The sequence below is a fragment of the Homo sapiens genome, chromosome 15 (assembly GCF_000001405.40).
Source record: "Homo sapiens chromosome 15, GRCh38.p14 Primary Assembly".
NCBI lineage: Eukaryota > Metazoa > Chordata > Mammalia > Primates > Hominidae > Homo > Homo sapiens.
This window is the reverse complement of record NC_000015.10, coordinates 59,520,667-59,540,009: the sequence shown is the minus strand read 5'-3', so window position 1 is coordinate 59,540,009 and position 19,343 is coordinate 59,520,667. Positions and strand designations below refer to the sequence as shown.

The following is a 19,343-nucleotide window of genomic DNA, read 5'->3' as shown; positions in this document are numbered from 1 at the left end:
TGAAGAACTGCCTGTTTACCACACTCTTTTCCAGGGTGTGGCATGGTGACTCACATCTGTAATCCTAGCACTTTGGGAGGCCAAGGCAGAAGGATCACTTGAGGAGTTCAAGGTCAGCCTGAGCAACATAATAAGACCCTGCCTCTACCAAGAAAAAAAAAATATATATATATATATATACACGTATATATATACGCGTATATATATACACGTATATATATACACATATACACACGTATATATATACACGTATATATACACACGTATATATATACACGTATATATACACACATATATATACACGTATATATACACACATATATACACGTATATATACACACGTATATATACACGTATATATACACACGTATATATACACGTATATATACACACGTATATATACACGTATATATACACACGTATATATACACGTATATATACACACGTATATATACACGTATATATACACACGTATATATACACGTATATATACACACGTATATATACACGTATATATACACACGTATATATACACGTATATATACACACGTATATATACACGTATATATACACACGTATATATACACGTATATATACACACGTATATATACACGTATATATACACACGTATATATACACGTATATATACACACGTATATATACACGTATATATACACACGTATATATACACGTATATATACACACGTATATATACACGTATATATACACATATATATACACGTATATACGTATATATACACATATACGTATGTATATACACACATATACACGTATATATATATGTACATATATACACACATATATACGTACATATACATACACACACACATATATATACACACACACATATATATGTGTATATATACACATACATATATATAAAAAATATATAGCTGGGTGTGGTGGCCTGCACTGATACTCTTAAATACTCAGGAGGCCGAGTGGGTAGGATCACTTGAGCCAGGAGGTTGAGGCTACAGTGAGCTATAATTGTATCACTGCACTCTAGCCTGAGCAACAGAGTGAAAACTTATCTCAAAAATAAATAAGTAAATGAAACCAAAGGGGCTGCACCAGTTTGCATTTTCACTGGCAATATATGAGGTTTCCAAATTTCTTCACATCTTCATCAAAACTTGTTACTAGCCAGGCACAGAGCCTGATGTCTGTCATTCCGGCATTTTGGGAGGCTGAGGTGGAAGGATTGCTGGAGACCAAGAGTTTCAGACCAGCCTGGGCAACACAGTAAGACCCTGTCTCAAAAAAAAAAAATTGATTAGCTGGGTGTGATGGCATGCACCTGTGGTCCCAGGTGGGGAGGCTGATGCAGGAGGATCTCTCGAGCCCAGGAAGTCAAGGCTGCAGCGAGCCATGTTCATGCCTCTGCATTCCAGCCTGGACAACAGAGTGAGACTCTTTCCAAACAAACAAACAGACAAAAAAAACAAAAGCACACAAAACTTGTTATTGCCTGTCTTTTTTTATTCTTAATAAGATTGAAATGGTATTTCATTGTGTGTTGCTGTTTGTTTTTTTTGCGGGGGGTGGGGGGTTTGAGACAGAGTCTTGCTCTGTCATCCAAGCTGGAGTGCAGTGGCACAATCATAACTTAATACAGCCTTGACCTCCTAGGCTCAAGCGATCCTCCCACCTCAGCATCCCAACTAGGTAAGACTATAGGTGCATGCCACCATCCTTGGCTAATTTAAAAAAAAAATGTTTTTGTATAGATGGGGTCTCAATATGTTGCCCAGGATTGTCTCAAACTCCTGGCCTCAAGCCATCCTCCTGCCTCAGTCTCCCAAAATGCTGGGATAACATGCATGAGCCACCATACCAGAACTTCAACGTGCTTTTCTTTCGTTTTTTGTTTTTGTTTTTGTTTTTGTTTTTTGAGACAGAGTTTTGCTCTTGTTGCCCAGGCTGGAGTGCAATAGTGTGATCTCTGCTCACCACAACCTCCACCTCCCAGGTTCAAGTGATTCTCCTGCCTCAGCCTCCCGGGTAGCTGGGATTATAGGCATGCGCCACCACGCCCGGCTAATTTTGTATTTTTAGTAGAGATGGGGTTTCTCCATATTGCTCAGGCTGGTCTCGAACTCCCAACCTCAGGTGATCCACCTGCCTCAGCCTCCCAAAGTGCTGGGATTACAAAGGCATGAGCCACCGCACCCGACCCTCAATGTGCTTTTCATGCCAGACCTTCAAATGCTTTTCCAATTTGCATTTCCCTGATGACTAATAATAGTGAGCATTTTTTAATATGCCTATTCCGTGTTACATTTTATTCTATTAGATTCAACCCATTATTTCAACTGATCACATTTGCATCAGTTTTCACTTTTTTCAGTTCCCAGTCAAATGCAAATATCAAGGGAGTGGCCTAGCTATAGCCTGTTTGCTGAAAAATGAAAACAACTGAGCATGTTGAGCTGGTGAAAGAACACTGCAGTTTGCATAAGGAACCAGTTTAAGTTGACATTGAAGCTTATGTAGCCATCGCTGAGAAAGAGTGGATTCTTCAGTCAGGTGCAGTGGCTCACACCTATAATCCCAGCACTTTGGGAGGCCAAGGTGGGAGGATTGCTTGAGCCCAGGAGTTAGAGACCAGCCTGGGCAACATAGACCCTGTGTCTACAAAAAAAATTAAAAATTAGTTGGGCGAGGTGGCACACGCTTGTGAGTCCAGCTACTTGGGAGGCTGAGGTGGGAGGATCTTTTGAGCCCAAGAGGTCAAGGCAGCAGTGAGCAAAGCCATGTTCATGCCACTGCACTCCAGCCTGGGTGACAGAGGGAGACTCTGTCTCAAAAAATAAAATTAAATTTAAAAAACCCACATACACACACACACACACACACACACACACACAAAGAGTGGAGTCTTCTCTTCATAGCTCTAACCTAATCCCTCCTTCTTTCTTTCTTTCTTTCTTTCTTTTTTTTTTGAGACAGAATCTTGCTCTGTCACCCAGGCTGGAGTGCAGTGGTGTGATCTGGGCTCAGTGCAACCTCTGCCTCCTGGGTTCAAGTGATTATCCTGCCTCAGCCTCCTGAGTAGCTGGGATTACAGGCATGTACCACCACATGAGGCTAATTTTTGTAGTTTTAGTAGGGATGGGGTTTCAGCATCTTGGACCAAGCTGGTCTTGAACCCCGACCTCGTGACCCACCTGTCTCAGCCTCCCAAAGTGCTGGGATTTCAGGTATGAGTCACCGCGCCTGGCCCCTAATCCCACTTTCATTACGGGGCTCTCTCTAATCAGCATCTGCCCAGGGGCTGGTTCAACCAGCCACTTTGCACTTTAAGCAGCTGCTCTTTCAGCCATCTGAGTCTCTTCCTCACATTTGCCAGCTTAGCCCCCAAACTAGCCTCAAGAACACATCCATGTAGAAGAAACCATGTCTCCTTTCTCAAGAAATACTCAACATCGCTCCTGCTTGACTGGCTTCCTCCTTCCTAGGTTCACGCTGTCACACCTAAGAATGAGCAGGTGAGAAGATGCTGCTCGGTTCTTGCCTTAAAGCGGGATGATCCTGCCATCTTGGAGAAGACCCAGGCTGGTGTTTGCTCCTTTAAGCGACTGGGACTCCCAAATCTGCAGACTTTCTAGCATCCTGCAGGGTGGCCATGGTCTAGTTGAGCAGCCAGAAAGAAGCTCATCAATTGGAATGGAGTTTGTCTCCTGTTTCTAGTTTCTTCATCCAGAGCGGAATTTTTCAAGATGTGGTCCAAGGACGACCTGAGTCAGACTCACCCCAGGTCTAGGTGAATGTCCACAACCACTGAAGCAGAATCTTCATGGGGTAGATTCTAAACAAAACCTACATTTGGAAGAAGCTCCTTAAGAATTATTCTGCATAATAAAACATATAAAACAGACACCTAGAGGTATTATTAGCTTGCTGCAAAAGTAGTTGCAGTTTTTGCCATTACTATTGTGCCAACCTAGTATTATCAATTTATTGCTAATTGACACAGATATTTAGATGACTCTTTGAAAACTTATATTTTTGGCCAGGTGCAGTGGCTCACACCTGTAATACCAATGCTTTGGGAGCCTGAAGCAGGAAGATCACTTGACTGAGGCCAGGAGTTTGACACCAGCCTAGACAACATAGTGAGACCCCATCTCCACAAATTAACACACACACACACACACACACACACACACACACACATTTTTGTCCAATGGCAGACATCTCATAATCGGCAGAGTGAAGACTCAAACCCTTTGCCTTGTGTTCCTTCCCCTATGTGACAGCTGCCTTGCTTTTGTCTGTCGAACCCTCAGGGGCAAAGCCCTGCACAGCCTGTCACCTGCTTGACACCAGAAAGCCCCGTCACTTTTTGTGGCAGGTGAAGGGTCCCTGGATTTCACTCCACCTCTTAAATTTCCTCTCCCTGTCCTTTCCAAAACACATGCTGCAAACCAAAGAATCCTGAAATGTATTTTAAGCAACTGTAGGATATATATCCATGTAACCCAGATATGAGGTAACTTATATCAATCTTCCCTCACCACGCCATTCCCCAGCAAACGGAAGTGACTGCACACAAATTTAAATAACTGTTGACTCAACTCAGCTTTTTGCACCAAAGCATATCAGAGATTACTGCTCACTTGTGATTGGCTGTCCTTGATAGCACATCTGCCTTGGTCCATTCAGCTGTGACGAGGGACATAGGACACCTGGGCAACAGAGACTGTGGGGGGACAGTTTCATTTAGAGTGGTGGGCAGAGCAGTCACCATACCTGACATTTCTAGTACAATCCACAAGGTAGTCAAGTCCCAGAAGACTGCTGAAAGTACATTTTATAATAACTAGTGTCAGGCCTCTGAGCCCAAGCCAAGCCATCGCATCCCTTGTGACTTGCACGTATACATCCAGATGGCCTAAAGTAACTGAAGATCCACAAAAGAAGTAAAAACAGCCTTAACTGATGACATTCCACCGTTGTGATTTGTTCCTGCCCCACCCTAACTGATCAATGTACTTTGTAATCTCCCCCACCCTTAAGAAGGTACTTTGTAGTCTCCCCCACCCTTAAGAAGGTTCTTTGTAATTCTCCCCACCCTTGAGAATGTACTTTGTGAGATCCACCCCTGCCCGCCAGAGAACAACTCCCTTTGACTGTAATTTTCCATTACCTTCCCAAATCCTATAAAATGGCCCCACCCCTATCTCCCTTCGCTGACTCTCTTTTCGGACTCAGCCCGCCTGCACCCAGGTGAAATAAACAGCCATGTTGCTCACACAAAGCCTGTTTGGTGGTCTCTTCACATGGACGCGTATGAAAACTAGCATTCCATATAGTTTCATACCATTTGCGGATTCACTGATGTTTCAAGTAGAAACAACACCGTCAGCCAGTTGCTGTAGTTTATGCCTGTAATCCCAGCGTTTTGGGAAGCCAAGGCAGGCAGATCACCTGAGGTCAGGAGTTCGAGACCAGCCTGACCAACATGGTGAAACCCCCATCTCTACTAAAAATACAAAACTAGCCAGGCATGGTGGCGCATGCCTGTAATCCGAGCTACTAGGGAGGCTGAGGCAGGAGAATCGCTTGAATCCAGGAGGTAGAGGTTGCAGTGAACCAAGATCATGCCATTCACTTCAGCCTGGGCAACAAGAATGAAATTCTGTCTCAAAAAAAAAAGACAGAAAAGAAAGAAAGAAAGAGAGAACATCCTCAAATAGAAACAATACCACCTACCTCTATGTTTTAATACATTTTCAGTAATAATATTTATTCAACAATACATATTAATTTCCTATTAACTATTGGTTTCTTTCTAGATATTAGAATACAGTTTATATTCTGAGAGGGATTAAGGGCCCAGAGTCGGGGAACTCACATTGTAAAGAGGGAAACTGCTTACCACAACCAAGCATTTTCAATGAGGAAAATCTGAAAATAATGAGGAGGCTTGATCCAAAGGGCCAAGCTACCTAAAATTACAATGGGCAGTGGGGATCTACTAGAAAAAGGTGTCACAGAGACACCTTAGAAACATGGCAGGAGGGATGATGAAAGAGAGGAGGGATTTTCAGGTTGAAATGAAAGACTTTTTTTTGTTTGTTTTTTTGTTTTGAGACAGAGTCTTGCTCTGTCGCCCAGGCTGGAGTGCAGTGGCCCAATCTCAGCTCACTGCAACCTCTGCCTCCTGGATTCAAGTGATTCTTCTGCCTTAGCCTTCTGAGTAGCTGGGATTACAGGTGCACATCACCGTGTCCAGCTAATTTTTGTATTTTTAGTAGAGATGGGGCTTCACCATGTTGGCCAGGCCTATCTTGAATTCCTGACCTCAAGTGATCCGCCCGCATCTGCCTCCTAAAGTTCTGGGATTACAGATGTGAGCCATTGGGCCCGACCTGAAATGAATGACTTTACACACGAATGCAATAATGTTAACTCCCATTCCCTTCTTACTGTCTGTCTTTCTTCTTTGCAGCTCTAAAGGTCAATGAAATGCAGACCTAAGAGAGTATGCAAAGAAAGCAAAGGTTTGACACAGGACTTCCTTCCCAGAAATTTTAGGACTAGAGTAAGGCTGTGCTAGGAAACTCACCAGACCTGGAGCCAAAGGAGCTGGGTATTCAGCCTTGCTTCACTGGCTATGTGACCTTGACCAAACTTTCTTGATATTTCATTTTTCTATTTGTAAAATGGAAGCTGTAATTTCTCTTTTTTCTTTAATTTCTTTTTGTTTCCCTAAGGTCTAAGATGGCTGCTAAGAAATAGTAATTTCCTACCCAGTGGGTAGGAAAGTGTCTGACACATAAATATTAAGCAAAATATTTACGCTTATTCACATATTCAATTAAAATTCATAACTTCAGTTTCTTCATCGGAGGATGAGAATAGTAATGGTAACACAGGGTTATTATAAGGGAGGTAAAGTGGTTTATCAATTACAAAGTCCCGTACATGTATCAGGTCATCATTATTTAAGACATGGGAGGTTGGCAGGGGTCGGTGCGGGGCAGCAGGTTCTCAAAAATTTAGCTTAATGCGCCACCTAGGGATAGACTACAGTTCTGCATTAGTTTTAGAAAAAGCTGAAATGAGGTGAAACTGAAATGATTTCTGCTTCCTGAATTTTATGAAGTCAGGCATATCTAGACCCTCTAGCTTTCAAAACACCTGTTTAAAAGAGGTCTGTAACAAAATTTATCTTTCACGTTGCCCAGAAACGACATGTGGAAGAAAAAATGTGCATGAGAGCACTTTGCGTGGAGACATTCTCAATAAATGATTAATTCAGTGGTCCCCCATATTTTTACCTTTCTTTTGTTTCTTTTTCTTTCTCAGAGATTTTTTTCTTTCTTTCTTTTTTTAGAGACAGGGTCTCACTATGTTTCCCAGGCTGGTCTCCTCCCTCAAGCAATCCTCCTCCCACCTCACCCTCCCAAAGTGCTGGGATTACAGGCGTGAGCCACTACACCCTGTCCCCCTGCCTTTTTTTTAGTGTTTTACCCCCAAACATAGACGTTTTACAAAGATCAGTTAATAACAGCGCATTAATCGATTTATCAATTTATTCTATTTCTCCTTTTTTTTGAAATAGGGTCTCACTCTGTCACCCAGGCTGGAGTGCAGTGGCACGATCCTGGCTCACGGCAACCTCCACCTCCCAGGTTCAAACAATTTTCCTGCCTCAGCCTGCCAAGTAGCTGGGATTACCAGCGCCCTCTGCCACACCCAGCTAATTTTTGTATTTTTAGTAGAGACGGGGTTTCACCATGTTGGCCAGGGTGGTCGTGAACTCCTGAACTCAACTGATCTGCCCTTCCAAAGTGCTGGGATTACAGGCATAAGCCACCACACCCGGCCTCTATTTCTCATTAATCAGAGACTTTAACCCATCTGGAACTATCGTTAAGTGATCTAATGGGTGTGGGACGCACTATAAAGAGCTGTCATAATATGAGACAACATAAGGACACCTGAGACCTTAGTTAACCTGCAAGTGCTTTCACGATTAGCACCTGACTTCTCATAGATATTTTTTTAAATATTGGGGAAAATGTAATCCTGCCTTCAAGTAGATCACAGTTTAGGGAGAAGACACCCATGTGTAGTTAATGGAAACAATAGTTTTGAAATTTACTAATTTGCTGGTGTCCCTTGCATTTCCTTGTCCTCCCCCTGACTTGCCCCGTCTTCTGCAGAGGCATCCATTTGCCCAAGAGGGAACTAGGACTGTTACAACAGGAACTCAAAGAGGACGCAGTCCATATTCAGTTTTGAAATTCAGAATAGATACCTGGAAAGCACAGAAAGACGATAGTCTTAAAAGCCAGGCTTTGTCATGAAAGAATTTTCTAAGTTCCTTTGGCTCCTAGAACTGTGTCAGAGTCACTAACTCTAAGCCTAAGTCAGATGACAAACTCACTTCCATGATGCAGAAGGAATACTCCTGCTACCATTAAGGGACTTAAGGCTCCCTCATCCCCCTAGAAAGGAAGAAATGACAGCGAGAAGGCCACCCTAGAGAGGAAGCAGAAATAGAAAGCCGGTTCTCTTTTTCACACAAGTGGAGTGTGGGGAGGAGAAAGGAACGTTGACAAACGTGTTCTCCCTTTTCTTCCTCTTGAGGTGAAACTCTGCAGTGGACAAACTGGTAAAAATGCCCAGGTAGGCTGGAGGTAGCTGAGAACCTTGTAGGAGGAAGAGGGAAGGTGAAGACTTACTAAAGACACCCGGCATTTGGTCCCGCCCAACATGGTTTGGGCAGCAGCACAGCAGCTGCTAGACAGGTAAACTCTAGGCCAGAGGGTTCCTGGGTGAGGCCAGAGGAAGTGATGGACCAGCAGGTGCCTGTGGCAAGGACAAGGGTCTGCTCTGTCCAGGACTTGTTCGCGGACACAGGGATGAGCACCTAGCACAATGTCGGGTACTCAAAAAGCCTTAGCTAGCCCTAGAGGGTATTGGTTTATTAGAACACGAGAGCCACACAGCACCAAAGGAAAAGCAGATAGGTGCTATGGAGAAACAGTGTGATAGCTACAGAAGCAAATTACTCTCCTTAAGCATTACGTCAGTTAGGGTCCATTCAAGAAAACAGAATCCTCCCTAGGTATTCCAAACACAGATAATTTAATAAAGGGAATTGGTCACCCACATTATGGAAACTGAGAAGCCAACCAGGAGATAATGAGTCATCCAGAGATTATAAGAGCAGGAAGCCCCTATTAGCCACGTGGCTGAAAGGACAACACATTGGCAACTAGATGGACATTGAATGCCTGAATCATAAATAGGCTTATTTTTATAAAAAATATTTAATAAGATGGCCAGGTGTGGTGGCTCACGCCTGTAATCCCAGCACTTTGGGAGGCCGAGGTGGGGGGATCACGAGGTCAGGAGTTTGAGACCAACCTGACCAACATGGTGAAACCCTGTCTCTACTAAAAATACAAAAATTAGCCGGGCATGGTGGCACTCACCTGTAATCCCAGCTACTCAGGAGGCTGAGGCAGGAGAATCGCTTGAACCCGGGAGGCGGAGGTTGCAGAGAGCCGAGGTCGCGCCACTGCACTCCAGCCTAGGTGACAGAGAGAGACTCAGTCTCAAAATAATAATAATAAGATGGCCAGGCGTGGTGGCTTACGCCTGTAATCCCAGCACTTTGGGAGGCCGAGGCTGGCAAATCACAAGATCAGGAGATCAAGATCATCCTAGCCAACATAGTGAAACCCTGTCTCTACTAAAAATACAAAAATTATCTGGGCGTACTGGCACATGCCTGTAATCCCAGCTACTCAGGAGGCTGAGGCAGGAGAATAGCTTGAACCAGGGAGTCAGAGATTGCAGTGAGCCGAGATCACACCACTGCACTCCAGCCTGGCAACAGAGCAAGACTCCATCTCAAAAAACAAACAAACAAGCAAACAAAAAGCAACAACAACAAAAAAAACCCAAAAACAAACCATATTTAATAAGATGTAGGTAAACTTTTATTTTTATTTATTTATTTTTTGAAACTAGGTCTCACTTTGCCACCCACGCTGGAGTGCATTGGGGTAGTCTCAGCTTACTGCAGCCTCGACCTCCTGGGCTCAGTGAGCCTCCCACCTGAGTCCCCAGAGTAGCTAAGACTAAATCTCACCTTGTTGCACAGGCTGGTATTGAACTCCTGAGTTCAAGTGATCTGCTTGCCTTAGCCTCCCAAAGTGCTGGGATTACAGGTGTCAGCCACAGCACCAGGCCAAGATGTAGGTACATTTTAAACATTAAAATCAGCTTTAAACAATTTTTGCTTAAAAATATATCTTTGGCCGGGCACAGTAGCTTACACCCGCATTCCCAGCACTTTGAGAGGCTAAGGCAGGCAGATCACTTGAGGTCAGGAGTTCCAGACCAGCCTGGCCAACATGGCAAAACTCCCTCTCTGCTAAAAATGCAAAAATTAGCTAGGAGTGGTGGCTCATGCCTGTAGTCCCGGCTATTGGGGAGGGTGAGACAGGAGAATGGCTGAAACCTGGGAGGTGGAGACTACAGTGAGCCGAGATTGCACTACTGCACTCCAGCCTGGGTGACAGAGTGAGACTCCGTCTCAAAAAAAAAAAAAAATCTTCTTTAACTTGTATTTTATCATTAAATACAGGCAAGAAGGCGGTTTGTTTTGGGAAAGGGCTGTTAATCACCTTGTTTTAAGAAACTAAGTTCCTCCCAAACTTAGTTCAGCCTATGCCCAGGAATGAACAAAGACAGCTTGGAGCTTAGAAGCAAGATGGAGTTGGCTAGGTCAGATCTTTTTTGCTGTCTCAGCTATAATTTTGCACTAGCGGTTTCATGATCTCCAAGGGCTCTTTTCCCGAGGCATTCCTTGGTTCTGGGTTCTCCCTAGTGAAACAGATTCCCTAGGAGTTTTCATTCTCTCCAGGTGGGGGCAGCAAAGGACAGTGAATCCCATGGGCGGGCCTGGTAGTGCTGTGGAGAGCTCCTCGCACTTCTCTGGCGGCTGGCAGTTAAGTGCTGGAAATCTGCAAACATCTTCGCTCCCCGCCCTCTCTTCCTCCATGTCTCAGAGGAGTCACACCTGCTCAGAGTCAGATCATTGCTTTACCTGTGGCCCAAGTCGGTTTAAAGAATAATTAAACTACAAGTTTGAAAATTAAACAAAGCATGGTAATTAGAAATAAAAACAGACCAGAGACCATCTAAAGCAATCAGATACCCCCAAGATAAGCTAATTATAAAAACTAAGCACTGAATTTAGCTCCAAATTTCTAGATATCAGGGCAGGGTCAGGATTAGGGTAAAGCAGCCTCAAATGCAAAAGGTAAGGAGAGGCCGGGTGTGGTGGCTCACACCAGTAATCCCAGCATTTTGGGAGGCTGAGTTGGGAGGATTCCTGGAGGCCAGGAGTTAAGACCTGCCTGGGCAACATAGTAAGACCCCATATCTACAAATTTTTTTTTTAATTTTAATTAGCCAGGCATGGTGGTGCACACCTGTAATCCTAGCTACTCAGGAGACTGAGGCTGTAATGAGCTATGAGCTATGATCACACCACAGCTTCCAGCCTGGGTGACAGAGGGAGACCCTGTTTTAAAAAAAAAAAAAAAAAAAAGTGATAAGGAGAGGGGAAGACCAAAACCTCAATAACCAAGTAAATCATATTTTAATGTAATATTTCTAAAAATCAAAATTAAAAAACCCTCACAAAAAATATGTCCAATTTTTGCATAAAAACATGTATATAGAGAGAAATACTTTGTCTTTTGCCTCAATTCCAAAATGACACCACATAGCACAGTCAGATCTGGTCTTTAGTTAAGATTTGATATTTTGTTCACCTGGAATTTTTTTTTTTTTAGACAGAGTCTCGCTCTGTTGCCCAGGCTGGAGTGCAGTGGCACGATCTCAGCTCACTGCAAGCTCCGCCTCCCGGGTTCGCATCATTCTCCTGCCTCAGCCTCCCGAGTAGCTGGGACTACAGGCGCCCACCACCACGCCCGGCTAATTTTTTGTATTTTTTAGTAGAGATGGGGTTTCACCGTGTTAGCCAGATGGTCTTGACCTCCTGACCTCGTGATCCGCCCGCCTTGGCCTCCCAAAGTGCTAGGATTACAGGTGTGAGCCACCGCGCCTGGCCCTGTTCATCTGGAATTTTTTAGTATTAATGGTGATCTTTTAAAATATTACATTAAAATATTGTAATCTTAGAGTATTTGGTGCCCCTCTAAATTTATCAAGGTGAATGCCTCACTGTGACTCACCTTCATCCCAGACCTGCGAGGGGCCCCTCACTAGGGAGCATCAGAATCCCTGGACTCCCCTGGCCAACAAGCCCTTGCCAGGCATCCCACATGCCCAGGATGCCCTAGGGCAAGCCTGGCAGACCCACAGTTCACAAGACACCACCCCATCGGCCTTGGGCTGGCTCTTCCCCCTGCATCCGGTGCCAGCCACCAAATCCTTCCCAACACAGTGCTCCAGGCACCTCTATCTACTGATCAGAACTGACAGATGAGATAAAAATCTTTTTTAAAAAATTTATTGTGGTAAGGACATGTAACATGAGATCTACCCTCTTAACGAAGTTTTAAGTGTATAACACATGGCTGTTGACTATAGGTGCAATGTTATACGGCAGATCTCTAGAGTTGTGTTTTGTTTTGTTTTGTTTTGTTTTGTTTTTTTGAGATGGAGTCTTGCTCTGTCGCTCAGGCTGGAGTGCAATGGCATGATCTCAGCTCACTGCAACCTCTGCCTCCCAGGTTAAAGTGATTCTCCTGCCTCAGCCTCCCGAGTAGCTGGGATTACAGGTGCATGCCACCACGCCTGGCTAATTTTTTTATTTTTAGTAGAGACAGAGTTTCACCATGTTGGCCAGGCTGGTCTCAAACTCCTGACCTCAGGTGATCTACCTGACTTGGCCTCCCAAAGTGCTGGGATTACAGGCTTGGGCCACCATGTCTGGCCAGATCTCTAGAGTTTATTCATCTTGCTTAAAGATAAAATCTTAAAAATAAAGACCTAGGAAATTATTCTAACAGGGACAACTGACATAATATTGTAGGAATGAGACTGGAGAGGATTTCCAGCTCCAAAGCTCATTTTAGGCTGACAGATGATGGTGCAGAGCTGTAGATAGGGCTGTGTATTAGTCTGTTCTCATGCTGCTAATAAATACATACCTGAGACTGGGTAATTTATAAAGGAAAGAGGTTTAATGGACTCACAGTTCCACATGGCTGGGGAGGCCTCACAGTCATGGCGTAAGGCGCATGAGGAGCAAAGTCACGTCTTACATGGCATCAGCCAAGAGTGTGTGTGCAGGGGAACTCCCCTTTATAAAACCATCAGATCTCATGAGCCTTATTCCCTATCACGAGAACAACAGGGGAAAAACCGGCCCCCATGATTCAATTACCTCCCACCAGGTCCCTCCCAAGACACATGGGAATGATGGGAGCTACAATTCAAGATGAGATTTGGGTGGGGACACAGCCAAACTATATCAGGCTGTACGTTGAAAGAGTGAGGTAACTATTGCTCTAGATGCTGCTGGTCTGCGGACACTTTGAGGACCATCCAGTAGAAATTTCTGCAGTTACAGAACTCTTCCACATTCGCACAGGCAATACAGTAGGCACCAACCATGGGAGGCTACTGAGCGCTTGAAATGTGGCTAGTGCAACTAAGAAACTAAATGTTAAGACATATCTAATTCTGATGAATTTATATTTACATTTAATTGATTTAAATGACCACATATTTTCTTTTTTTTTTCCTTTTTTTTTTTTTTTTTTTTGAGATGGAGTTTCGCTCTGTCGCCCAGGCTGGAGTGCAATGGCACAATCTCGGCTCACTGCAACTTCCGCCTCCTGGGTTCACGCCATTCTCCTGCCTCAGCCTCCCGAGCAGCTGGGACTACAGGCGCCCGCAACCACACCCGGCTAATTTTTTGTATTTTTAGTAGAGATGGGGTTTCACCGTGTTAGCCAGGATGGTCTCGATCTCCTGACTTCGTGATCCGCCTGCCTCGGCCTCCCAAAGTGCTGGGATTACAGGCCTGAGCCACTGTGCCCGGCCAATGACCACATATTTTCTTTTGGCTGGAACCACCATCTTCTAATCATTTGCCTAAATGATGAAAAAAAAGGGAATGAGGAGAAGCACCTGCTCTCTGTTCCCTGGGCCTTTTAGAATGCATGGAGTTGTTCCTTTGGACACACACACGTGAATCTACAAGAAGGGAGATGTTGTAGACATCAAGGGAATGGGTACTGTTCAAAAAGGAATACCTCACAAATGTTACCATGGCAAAGCTGGAAGTCTACAGTGCTACCCAGCATGCTATTGGCATTTCTGTAAACAAACAATATTCTAGCCAAGAGAATTACTGTATATGTTGAGCATATGAAGTACTTAAAGAGCCAAGATAGTTTCCTAAACGCGGAAGGAAAACGATCAGAAAACGAAGGAACCCAAAGAGAAACGTACCTGGGTTCCGCTGAAGCACCAGCCTGCTCTACGCAGAGAAGCACACTTAGTGAACCAACAGAAGAGGGCCTGAGCTGCTGGAACCTGTTCCCTATGAATTTATGGCACAATAGGTGCCAAAAAATTAAGGACCTCTTGACTGTTAAAAAAAAATCCATGTAATTAGTGGCTACTTATTAGTGCAGCAAGCCTCAGATTTTACATTACAATCACCTGCAGGACTTGAAGCAATTTGGTGCGTCCGTCTCAGAGCCTCTGATTCAGTAGGTCTTGGTGGAGCCTGAGAGTTTTCACTTCTTTTCTTTTTTTTTTTGAGACAGACTCTCACTCTGCTGCCCAGGCTGGAGTGCAGTGGCGTGATCTCGGCTCACTGCAACCTCTGCCTCCCAGGTTCAGGCAATTCTCCTGCCTCAGCCTCCCGAGTAGCTGGGATTACAGACATGTGCCACCACGCCCGGCTAATTTTTGTGTTTTTTGTAGAGATGGGGGTTTCACCATGTTGGCCAGGCTGGTCTTGAACTCCTGACCTCAGGTGATCCGCCCACCTCAGCCTCCCAAAGTGTTGGGATTACAGGCGTAAGCCACCATGCCCACATGTACACATACCCGATTCCCCACTTTCATTTCTTTTGGGTAGGGAGCTCCACTTCTAAGCTCCCTCACATGTCTATTGGAAATTGTCAATTCATCTTGGGCCATTTTTGGTTCAGTTCATCTCAAAAAGTTATTTTGTCGTCCCTATAAATCCAGAGCTAAAGGACCTCAGCAGTATCCTTTTATAGAGTAGACACTGCACTGCAGGCCCACCTGACTGAGACTCAGAGTCCAGATTCCGGCTGGAGCAGGAAGTCGGTAAAATGTCCCCCAGTGACCCCATCCCCAGGTGTTCAGCCCCTTGTGTGATCCCCTCCCGCTGTGTGTGTGCTGGACTTGCTTTTCATGAAGAGACTAGTGGAAGTGGTGGCTTGTCACTTCTGAGATTAGGTTACAAAAGACTAGCTTCCTTCCCGTTCACCCTCTCTCTCACTGGTACTGGTGGAAGCAAGCTGCTGTGTTGTAAACAACCTGTCAGGAGGGCTGTGTGGCAGAGCAAGGGACTGATGTCACAGTGCTTTGTGATTCTTTTTCCCCCTGAAAGCCTAGTGGGATAATTACAACTTGAACGGAGCCATCTTCTCTGTTCTGCTCTACACTCCCCTACACAATCCATCTCCCGATGTGCAGAGCCAGCCAGGGACCACGACCTAGGACAGCCCAAGTGCAGGGGATGAAATGCCTGTGATCCTACAAGTCCTGTGGCACCAACTGCCCCCCACCTCTGGTGCCTCCACATTGATACAGCCAGGGGAAGACGTTTGACAAGCTAATTAGATTGCCTCATTACGTATTTGGAATCGGGGCATTAAAAAGCGAGGGTAGTCAGATGGCAGGAGGCCAAGCTCATATAGATATGGCTGATGTCAGTGGCCTAGCAAGTCACTTATGTGGGAAGCCAAAATGTCTTCGGAGGTAGTGTGGTATGCTGGTAAGGCTCCCAGAGTGCGGAAGTAGGCGGCCTGGCTTGAATCATGGCTCCCATTTATCAGCTATAGGACTTGGGGCAAGTTGCTTAACCTTTAGGTGACTCTGTTTTCTCATCTGTAAAATGGGGAAATGGTATTGAACTCAACTAGTTAAAATGAAAAGAGTTGACATACACAGGGGACACAGCACAGGCACACAGCACACACCCGAGAACTGCCAAGAGACAAGAAGGCTGCAGAGAAGGCCCTACAGCCCCGAAGCCCACAGACCAGCAGCTCCCAATGACATTCCAGTCGTCAGAGGAGCTGCCAGGACTTGAGCACTTTATTTCAACCATCAAAGCGTTTCCACAGAGAGCAAACAGAAATATTTCCTATGGCATTTTACCTAATTAAGTCTTCAGCTCAACACTGAAAGACTTTTCAATTTAAAAATCATACACCACATTTATGTGAAAATTTTATTTTTCTTTTTATTGCAAATTTCTGGTAAAGGAAAGAACATGGAAGCTGATTCTCATTTGAGCTTTGGTGAGAAGAGAACTGCACTGTGGCTCGACAGCTCACCACCTCGGCTGCACACCCAAACACGCGGAGGCCTCGGGCACGCACTGATGCCTGCGACCCACCTCCCAGAGGTTCTGACTTAATCGGTCTGGGAGGCACAGCGGGGCATCAGTAGATTTCCCAACTCCTCTGGATGATTTCAACATGTAGCCAAGGTGAGCACACCTGCGGTGGCTCATCTCAAGGGGCTGGCAATGTCAGAAGCACCTGAGAAGCTCAGCTGACAGCCAAGTGTCACCTGCTTACATCACTCCTTGGCCAGAGTCCAGCTGGTGTTCCCCGCCTCCCTCTTCCCAGGTGTCGATGTTCTGATTCCTTCTCCTCAAAGACCCCACAAGACAGAGATGCTGGAGGGGGTGTGGCTTCCTGTGCTGTGGTTTGTGCTTAAACGTGGAGAACCACATGAACCACGTGTACGCTACCACAAAAGAAATTCACTTTCTGATTGCAAAACAGCATTCGCCTTTTTTTATTTGTTAAGTGGAAATTTGTGGCAAAATAAGAAAATATGTGTTGGATAATATAGTCCCTATATAACCTCTCATGTCCAAATTTGAAAAAAAAAATTGTCAAGCCATTGACAGCAAAATATGTACTTTAGCAGCATATTTTATATGGGTAAACAGTAATAGCCAGTTAGACACTTCATTTGTGATTTGTCCTAAAAATAGAAAATGCTTTTTATTTTCCTGAGTCCTTGGCAAACAAAAAACATTTTTTTCTTTTTAATTGTTAAAGTATTCCTGTTTTTCTTTTTCCTGGGACACCCTCACAGTTCAGAACGTTGTGTCTCACTGTCAGTTTTTACATACAGAGATGAACAAACAGCACTGGGGCCAATTTTCAATGACTGATCAAATATGGCGATTGAAAATAAAACACCCATCATCTACAAAGTTGCTCAAGATGAAAGTTTCTTACAGTGCTATAAATGCAATATCAATTTGAATTGTTGTCCATACAAAAGTATGAATTTCTATTCCATTAGTAATACTGAATGATTAATACCTTAACAGCGATAAAATTTTTAGAACATTTAAAAAATACAGAGGATTCCAGTTTTACATCATACTTCTGACGGATTATCATACTTTCTATTTTGTCTGCAAAACTTTTACAGAGTACAGTGCATTGACATGATAAAACCAAGGCACAAAAATACAGTTACGATAAGTGTATATAAACCCTAGCACTTTGTGCCAATTTTGGAAACAGATCATAAAGTCTGAAAAATTACCACATTCTATTTGATTAGTGAACAATTAATTGTGCAGTAAATAGACTGTTAACCACCATTCCATTATTAAATATATGGCTATCACTATACAGGTTGTGGATAATTCAAAAATAGTTTTAAATATTAAAACCTGTAATATCTAGGTGGTCAACGCAGATATTGAGCCTTACGTTATCTAAATAAGTTTCCATTTAATTTGCAATCCACATGGCAGTTAGCAATTTTTAAACTATTTCCATTACATAAATGGTGGGGTTTATTCTAAATGTTAAATCCTTTCCCCTTACAAAAGACAGAAGATTTACAAGAAGATAACCAATATAAGAAGTGCATAGACAACGATAATAAAATCCAAATTGGACTCAAAGGTTGAAGTCTAATCTACTGGGACATTCTCTTAATTTAGGGTGAGGAGCAACACATTCCTGTGATGATTCATTAGTTTCTTAATTAAAAAAAAATCCCCATGACATTTTTCAAAATAGTAAACAGTCTTCATTAGTGCATCAAGCATTGAAGAAAAATTGTCGTCTTTCCATTCGTAAAATGAAGAAGATAAAAGCCTTTCAAAATCCAGGGCGGGGGATTTCCATTGAATTTAGAGAAGTGAAATAAACTGGTAAAAACTGTATTTCATACTTTTAACAAAAGAGTATTTTCAAGACTCAAGGTAAACATTTAGACCCATAAAAACACATTTCTTGGCACATGCACGCCATGGATGGAACAATCCTGAATGCAGCGATGGCCTGGCTACAGAGGTATCCGGCTCCTAGCCCCACTGGCAAAACTGTCTTTTAGGACCTTGTCCCAGCTCCCTTCACATGGGGGTCTCTGGCTTCTGCATCAGCTGGATTTGCTTCTGTAGCTGGTCCCTGTCCAGCTTCATCTTGGCCTCGAGAACTTGCCTGAGGGATCCTATGCTTTCATAGACGGCTGTAAACCCTTGAAGGAGAGGTAAATTTCACAACAGTTAACAATTTTTTTAAAATGCTGTATCAAATTCTATAGTATCTAGTAATGGTTGATTCAGGCAAAAATTATTAATAGATGCTAAAACCTCTGGGATGAAAGTATGATGGGGAACAGGTGAGTTTCTAGTTTCTCCCTAGAGATTACTTTTTAATTACAAAAAGGAAAAAGGAACTATTACAATGGAGAAGACTGTCATATACCCCTTTAACCAAGTGATCAAATCTCACGTCACCCATACTGGGAGAAACAACATCACGTAACTTCTGAAAAGATACCCTGAGCAGGGCACAACATCACTTCTTGACATTTTTAAAGAATACCAAAATACACAACCTAAATTATATCAAGATGAAGCAAACAGGCCTGGTACGGTGGCTCATGCCAGTAATCCCAGCACTTTGGGAGGCCAAGGCGGATGGATCACCTGAGGTCAGGAGTTCGAGCCAGCCTGGCCAACACGGCGAAACCCTGTCTCTACTAAAAATACAAAAATTAGCTGGGTATGGTGGCGCACACCTGTAGTCCCAGCTACTCGGGAGGCTGAGGCAGGGAGAATT

The 19,343-nt window shown here is 43.9% G+C and overlaps 1 protein-coding gene and 1 pseudogene across 14 annotated transcripts in view, besides 2 other annotated features; one reads left to right on the top strand and one right to left on the bottom strand.

The window, feature by feature from the left end:
- Positions 3,203-3,322: a silencer, noted in NCBI's record as "silent region_6491". NCBI's record gives its function as "represses an Ori minimal core promoter by ATAC-STARR-seq in GM12878 lymphoblastoid cells {active_cell/tissue: GM12878}" and the evidence as "EXISTENCE:reporter gene assay evidence [ECO:0000049][PMID:35858748]".
- Positions 4,324-5,523: an enhancer, noted in NCBI's record as "CDK7 strongly-dependent group 2 enhancer chr15:59826686-59827885 (GRCh37/hg19 assembly coordinates)". NCBI's record gives its function as "activates an origin of replication core promoter dependent on BRD2, BRD4, P300/CBP, MED14 and CDK7 cofactors, with strong dependence on CDK7, by STARR-seq in HCT116 cells {active_cell/tissue: HCT116}" and the evidence as "EXISTENCE:reporter gene assay evidence [ECO:0000049][PMID:35650434]".
- Positions 14,086-14,625, top strand: RPL21P114 (ribosomal protein L21 pseudogene 114; annotated as a pseudogene).
- FAM81A (family with sequence similarity 81 member A) overlaps positions 16,455-19,343 on the bottom strand; it is a 125,575-nt gene continuing 122,686 nt past the window's right edge. For all 14 annotated transcript variants that reach the window (XM_047432171.1, XM_047432170.1, XM_011521248.3 and 11 more), the window contains one exon: positions 16,455-18,756. In XM_047432171.1, the coding sequence (XP_047288127.1) occupies positions 18,632-18,756 (125 nt within the window). In that variant the 3' untranslated portion in view covers positions 16,455-18,631. The remainder of the gene's footprint in view (positions 18,757-19,343) is intronic.